This window comes from Homo sapiens, chromosome 9 (assembly GCF_000001405.40).
Source record: "Homo sapiens chromosome 9, GRCh38.p14 Primary Assembly".
Taxonomy (NCBI): Eukaryota; Metazoa; Chordata; class Mammalia; order Primates; family Hominidae; genus Homo; species Homo sapiens.
Genome location: NC_000009.12, coordinates 90,659,062 through 90,667,698, shown reverse-complemented (window position 1 = coordinate 90,667,698; position 8,637 = coordinate 90,659,062).

Sequence of the window (8,637 nt, the reverse complement as noted above, 5' to 3'; positions counted from 1 at the left end):
ATCTTTCAAAGATATAAAGATCCCTAGTAAGTTAAGTATCTAGGGAAACATAATAACCAGTTTTGTTGTAAATTTGGTTTGTAACTCAACTTTGTGTTTTCTTCAGAATTAAAAGACAAATGCATAAAAATAAGAATATATACCAGTGTGTTTACTGTGTATAAATATATAATTTATGGTAGCAACAGCATGGTGAAAAAGCACTGTAGAGGAATAGAGTTTTGTATGTGATTGAAGTTGTTACTATTAATAAGATTGTTATAAATTTAGGATATTATATTTAATCCCATGGCAACCAAAAGAAAATATCTATGGAATATACACTGGGAATTGCATAGACAGACAACTGGAAGCAGCTAATGTGCATCGATGTCATGAAGAGGAATGGAAGGGGCAAGTAAATACAGCACCTTCAACTGAAACATCCAGGGACTCTCATTAGGACTAATTGAGGAAACAACTCAACCCACAGGGAAGGGAGAAAAGCAAGGCAGGGCGATGGCCCACCCAGGAGTGACATGGAGCCAAGGGAAGCTCCCTTACCCAGAGAAGTGGTGAGTGAATATGCAACCCCAGGGTCTCACACTTGTTCCATAGATCTTTGCAACCCTTAGGTCAGGAGATCCCCTTGTGAACCTACTCCACCCGGACTATCAGTTTGATACACAGAGCTATGTGGAATCTCACAGAGCAGCTGCTCAGGCATGCACAGAGACCCAGGAACTTTAGATACTCTGGCATTTCAGGCATCTCAGCAAAAGTAGCTGCAACTCTGGAAAAGTGGAAAGTTAGACCCCCACAATACTCGTAAGAAAGAGGCTGAATCCAGGAGACTGAGCAATGATGGTCTGTTGGCCCCACTTCCACGGTGCCTCACAGGATAAAACCTACTGGCTTGGAATTTCAGCCAGCAACCGATAGCAGCATTTTGCCTCCCTGGGATGGAGCTCCTCGAGGGAGGGGTGGAAGGGGTGCCACTTCTGCTGTTTGGCCACTTGGCTATTACATCCTTCAGGCTTTGGAGAGTCCAAACTGACCAGGGGCAAAAGGGATCCTCCAGCACAGCACAGCTACTCCTCTAAGACATGGCCAGACTGCTTCTTTAGGTGGGTCCCCAGTGCTATTCCTCCTCACTGGGCAGGACCTCCCAGCTGGGGCCTCCAGCCACTCCCACCAGTGTTCTCTGGCCAACAGGGATTTGAAAACTCCCTGGGACAGAGCTTTCATAGGGAGGGGCAGGTCAACATCTTTACTGTTAGGGTGACTTAGCCTTTCTAGCCTTCAGGCTTTGGAGAGCCCAAACCAACCAGCGGTGGAAGTGATACCCTAGCACAGCACAGCTGCCCTGCGAAAACATGGCCAGACTGCTTTTGTAAGTGAGTTCCTGATCCCATTCTTCATCACCAGCCATCACTCAGTTCAATCAGCCCACGGTGCATGGTCTCTGCTGTGGGCCCAAGCCAGGGGGTCTCTGTGTGGTGATGAGCAGTGGGGGGTGTGTGGGACCCATAGGAGACAGACTGACCTCCTCTCCTTGGGCTGACTGCAGCTTGTTGGAGGTGTGGATAAGGCACTCAGGGTCTTTTCACTAGGTGGAGCCTTCCAGTCAGGGTCTCTGGCTACTCCCACCAGTGTTCTCCAGCTGACAGAGGATTCAGACCTCCCTGGGATGGAGCTCCCAGAGGGAGGGGGAGGATGCAATCTTTGCTGTTTGGGTGACTTAGCCATTCCAGCCTTTGGGCTTTGGAGTACTGGAAGCATTACCCCAGCCCAGCACAGCTACCCTGTAAAAACCTGGCCAGGCTGCTTTTATAAGCAAGTCGCTAATCCCATTCCTCATCACCAGCAGTCACTCAGTACAATCAGCCCAGGATTCAGGGTCTGTGCTGTGGGCCCAAGCCAGGAGTTCCCTGTCTGGTGATGAGCAGTGGGGTGTGTATGGGACCATGGGAAACAGAATAGTGTCCTCTCCTTGGGTCAACTGCACCTTGTTGGAAGTGTGAATAAGACACTTAGGGTCTTTTCCTGCACATTCCCTCTCCATACATAATATAATATATAATAGCAGCTTCCCCTGAGCCCATGACAGCTTCTCACATCACTTTTCTGGCATGTGTCTGCATGGGTGGGTTTTGCTTTACTTGCCCCATCAGCATGCAGGAGTGCACTGTGCCCCACAAACCCCACCAACCACCATTGCAGATGGAGCCTTGGTGGGCACAGAGCCAGCAAGACCTGCCTCTGCCAGCACCCAGCTCTTGTGCTCATGCTGTGCAGAGGACAAGGAATCCTCCCAGGCCCTGAGTAACTACTCCTGCTTGTGGGGCACAGAGAAGGCACCCAGACCTGCACTAGCCAGCACCCCACTGCAAATCAACACCACCTCCAGTGCAACAGCACAGTCTCCTCCAGCAGGGGCCCCCGTTCTCCCTGCAACCGCCTTGCCTCTGTCACTGTGGCGAATGACTGCATGGTGGCAAGCACTCCTGCATCTGCTAGCACTCGGCTGCAGCTGCCACACCTTGGTCTCCTCAGTGTAGTAGGTCCAAACCTCAAGGAGCAAGAGAACAAAGTTAGGGCCCAATACAAATTCCCCAGAGTTAGAGCATGCAGTCCAGAAGTTAGGAGCTGTATATTGTCTCCTTAAAATCTTCCAGAAATGAAGCCAGTTGGCTGAATCTACCTTATACCACAATCAAACCCTCAAGGTCATCAAATAGGATAAAAGAAAAAAAAATATTCAAAGGTCAACAGCCTCAAAGATTGAAGGTAGATAAGCACACAAAAATGAGAAAGAATAAGTGTAACAACACTGAAAACTCAAAAAGCCAGAGCACCTTCTTTCCTCTAAATGACTGCATCACCTCTCCAGCAAGGGTTTCAAACTGGGCTGAGGCCGAGATGGCTGAAATGACAGAAGTAGAATTCAGACTATGGATAGAAAAAAAGTTCACTGAACTACAAGAGTATATTATAACCTAATGCAAGGAAGCTAAAAATTATGATATAATATTGCAGGATCTGACAAACAAAACAGCCAGTATAAAGAAGAACATAACTGACCTGATAGAGCTGAAAAGCACACTATAAGATTTCATAATGCAATCACAAGTATTAATAGCAGAATAGACAAAGTGGAGAAAAGAGTCTCAAGCTTGAAGACTGCCTTTCTGAAATAAGACAGGCAGACAAGAATAGAAAAAAATGAAAAGGAATAAGTAAAACCTCCAAGAATTATGGGATTATGTAAAGAGAACAAATCTACAACTGATTGGTGTACCTGAAAGAGACAGGGAGAATAGAACTAACTTGTACAACATATTTCAGGTTATCAACCATGAAAATCTCCCCAACTTAGCTGGAGAGGCCAACATTCAAATTCAGGAAATGCAGAGAACCCCAGTAAGATACTTTACAATAAGACCATCCTCAAGACACATAATCCTCAGATTCTCCAAGGCTGAAATAAAAGAAAAAATGTTAAATGCAGCTAGTGAGAAAATCAGGTTACTTACAAAGGGAAGCCTATCAGACCTCTCAACCCTACAAGCCAGAAGAGACTAGGGGGGGTCAATATTCAACATTCTTAAAGAAATGAAATTCCAACCCAGAATTTCATACCCAGTCTAAGCTTCATAAATGAAGGAGAAGTAAGATCCTTTTCAGACAAGCAAATGCTAAAGGAATTTATTACCGCTAGACCTTCATTAAAAGAGCTTCCAAAAGAAGCACTAAATATGGAAAAGAAAGACCATTAACAGCCATCACAAAAACACATTGAAGTACACAGACCAGCGACACTATAAAGCAACCACATAAACAGGTCTGAGAAATAACCAACCAGCTAACATCATGACAGGATCAAATTCACACATATCAATACTGCCTTAAATATAAATGGGCTGTGCCTCAACTGAAAGGCACAGGGTGGCAAGCTGGTTAAAGAAACAAGACACATTTGTATGCTGTCTTCAAAAGACCCATCTCACATGCAATGACACATATAGGCTCAAAATAAAGGGATGGAGAGAAATCTACTAAACAAATGGAAAACAGAGAAAGCAAGGGTTGCATTCCTAGTTTCTGACACAACATACTTTAAACCAACAAAGATCAAAAAAGACAAAAAAGGGCATTACATAATGGTAAAGGGTTCAATTCAATAAGAAAATCTAACTACCCTAAATATATATGCATTCAGGAGCACCCAGATTCATAAAGCAAGTTCTCAGAAACCTTCAAAGAAACTTAGACTCCCACACAGTAATAGTTGGAGATTTTAACACCCCACTGACAATATTAGACAGATCACCAAGACAGAAAATTAACAAAGATATTTAGGACCTGAACTAAGCACTGGACCACATGGACCTAATAGATATATACAGAATTCTTCCTGCAAAAACAACAGAATATACATTCTTCTCATCACCACATGGCACATACTCTAAAACTGATCACATAATCAGAAGTGAAACACTTCTCAGTAAATGCAAAATAACAGAAATAATAACAAACAGTCTCTCAGTCCACAGCACAATTAAATTAGAAATCAAGACTAAGAAATTCACTCAAAAGCATAAAATTACATGGAAATTGAATAGCTTGCTCCTGAATGACTTTTTGGTAAATAATGAAATTAAGACAGAAATCAAGAAGTTATTTGCAACTAATGAGAACAAAGATACAATGTACCAGAATCTCTGGGACACAGCTAAGGCAGTGTTAGGAGGGAAATTTATAGCACTAAATGCCCACATTAAAAAATTAGAAAGGGCTGGGCACAGTGGCTCACGCCTGTAATTCCAGCACTTTGGGAGGCCAAGGCAGATGGATCACGAGGTCAGGAGATGGAGACCATTCTGGCTAACACAGTGAAACCCTGTCTCTACTAAAAATACAAAAAATTCACTGGGCTACTTGGGAGGCTGAGGCAGGAGAATGGTGTGAACCTGGGAGGCGGAGTTTGCGGTGAGCTGAGATCGTGCCACTGCACTCCAGCCTGGGTGACAGAGCGAGACTCCGTCTCAAAAAAAAAAATTAGAAAGATCTCAAGTTAACAACCTAACATCACAACTAAAAGAACTATAGAACCAAGAGCAAACAAGGCTTAAAGCTATCAGAAGACAAGAAATAATCAAAATCAGAGCTGAACTGAAGGAAATAGAGACATGAAAAACCATTACAAAAATCAACAATTCTAGGAGCCATTTTTTTTGAAAAAAGTTAATAAAAGAGATAGACCACTAGCTAGACTAATAGAGAAGAAAAGAGAGAAGATTCAAATAAACACAACCAGAAATGACAAGGGGGATATTACAAGTGACCCCACAGAAATACAACAACTATCAGACAATACTATAACCACCTTTATGTACATAAACTAGAAAATATAGAAGAAATGGATAAGTTCCTGGACAAATACACCCTCCCAAGACTGAACCAGGAAGGAATTGAATCACTGAACAGACCTATAATGAGCTTTGAGATTGAGGCAGTAATAAATAGCCTACCAACCAAAAAAAAGCACAGAACCAGATGATTCACAACTGAATTTTACCAGATGTACAAAGAAGAACTAGTACAATTCCTACTGAGACTATTCCACAATATTGAGGAGGAGGGACTTCCTACAACTCATTTTATGAGGCCGACAATATCCTCATACTAAAACCAGGCAGAGATACAGCAACAACAAAAAGAGAAAACTTCAGGCCAATACCTATGATGAACACTGATGCAAAAATTCTTAACAAAACACTGGCAAATCAAATTCAACAGCATATCAAAAAGCTTATCCACCACAATCGAATAGACTTTATCTCTGGGATGCAAGTTTGGTTCAACGTACACAAATCAATAAATGTAATTCATCACATAAACAGAACTAAAGACAAAACCCACATGATTATCTCAATAGATGCCAAAAAGTCGTTGATAAAATTCAACATCCAATCATGTTAAAAACTCTCAATAAACTAGGTACTGAAGAAACATACCTCAAAATAATAAGAGTCATCTATTACAAACCCACAGCCAGCATCATACAGAATAGGCAATAGCTGGAACAATTTCCCTTGAAAACTGGCATGAGACAAGGATGCCCTCTCTCACCACTCCTATTCAACATAGTGTTGGAAGTTCTGGCCAGGGCAATCAGGAAAGAGAAAGAAATAAAGGGAATCCAAACAAAAAGTTAAGAAGTCAAACTATCCCTGTTTGCAGATGTCATAATCCTGTATCTAGAAAATCCTATTGTTTCAGCCCAAAAAGCTTCTTAAGCTAATAGACAACTTCAGCAAAGTCTCAGGATACAAAATCAATGTGCAAAACTTTCTAGCATTCCTATACAGCAACAGTCAAGCCGAGAGCCAAATTAGGAATGAACTCACATTCACAATTGCCACCAAATATCTAGAAATATATTTCTAAAATATCTAGAAATATAGCTAACAAGGAAGGTGAAAGATCCCTACAATAAGAACTGCAACCCACTTCTCAAAGAAATCAGAGATGATACAAAAAAATTGGAAAACATTCCATGATCATGGATAGGAAGAATCAATATCATTAAAATGGCCATACTTCCCAAAACAATTTATGGATTCAATGCTATGCCTATTAAACTACCACTGACATTCTTCACAGAACTAGAAAAAAACTATTTTAAAATTCATATGGAACCAAAAGAAGGCCAAATAGCCAAGACAATACTAAGCAAAAAGAACAAAGCTGGAAGCATCACGTTACTTGATTTCAAACTATACTACAGGACTACAGTATCCAAAACAGCATGATACTGGTACAAAAACAAACACGTAGACCACTGGAACAGCATAGAAAACAAAGAAATCTGACCACAAAGCTATAACTATCTGATCTTTGACAAACCTGACCAAAACAAGCAATGGGGAAAGGATTCCCTGTTTAATAAATGATGCTGAGATAACTAGCCTGCCATATGTAGAAGATTAAAATTGGACCACTTCCTTATGCCTTATACATAAATTAACTCAAGATAGATTACAGACTTAAATGTAAAATCCAAAGCTATAGAAATCCTGTAAAACAACCACAGACAAAGATTTCATAATGAAGACGCCAAAAGCAATTTTAACAAAAGCAAAAATTGACAACTGGGATCTAATTAAACCAGAGAGCTTCTGCACAGAAAAAGAAACTATCAACAGAGAGTAAACAGGCAACCTACAGAATGAGAGAAAATTTTTGCAAACTATGCATCCAACAAATGTCTAATATCCAGCACCTATGAAGAACTTATACAAATTTACAAAAAATTAACCACCCCATTAAAAAGTAGGCAAAGGACATGAATAGACACTTCTCAAAAGAAGATGTAGATGTGGCCAATAAATATATGAAAGAAGCTCAACATCACTGAGCATTATAGAAATGGAAATCAAAACCACAGTGAGATAACATCTCAGTGAGTCAGGATGAGTCAGAATGGCTATTATTATAAAAACAAAAAATAACAGATGCTGGACAAGTTGTGAAGAGAAATAATGCTTATACACTGTCAGTGGGAATGTAAATAAGTTCAGCCATTGTGAAAGACAGTGTGGCAATTCTTCAAAGACCTAAAGACAGAAATACCATTCAACCTGGCAATCCCATTACTGGGTATATACCCAAGGGAATGTAATTTGTTCTATTACAAAGACATGTGCACATGTATGTTCATTGCGACACTGTTCACAATAGCAAAGACATGGACTCAACCAAATGCCCATCAGTGATTGACTGGATAAAGAAAATGTGGTACATATGCACCATGGAATGCTATGCAGCCATAAAAAGAATGAGATCATGTCCTTTGCAGGGACTTGGATGGATTTCAAAGCCATTATTTTTAGCAAACTAACACAGGAACGGAACACCAAATACCACATGTCCTCACTTATAAGTGAGAGCTAAATGATGAGAACACGTGGACACATAGAGAAGAACAATAGACACTGGGGCCTATCAGAGGGTGGAGAGTGGGAGGAGGGAAATGATCAGGAAAAATAACTAAAATAACTGAAGGGTACTAGGCTTAATACCTGGGTGATGAAATAATCTGTACAACAAACCACCAAGACACAAGTTTACCTGTGTCCCAAACCTGCATGTGTAGACCTGAACTTAAAATAAAAGTTAAAAAAAGCAAATACACAGAAAGAAAAAAAAGAAGTAAAATGTATCACTACAAAGATTAACTAAACACAAATCAAGGCAGTAATGAAGAGAATGACAGACAAAAGGACTGTAAGACATATTAAAATCAAATAACAAAATGGTAAAATTAAGTTCTTTCTTCTATTAAATATAAATAAATTACACTCCTCAATCAAAAGGTGTAAATTGGAAAAATAGATAAAAAAAAAAAAAGCAAAACCAGATTTCAACCATATGCTCTACATAAGAAATTTACCTTAGATTTAGGAACACATATAGGTTGAAAGGGAAAGGATAGAAAAAGATATTCCATGCAAATAGTTACCAAAGGAGAGCTGTGGTCCCTATATTTATAAGAGAAAAGAGACTTTAGGTATAAAACTGTCACAAGAGACAAGGAAGGACATCATTTATGGATAAAGTGTTAACACACCAAGAAGATATAACATTTAAAAA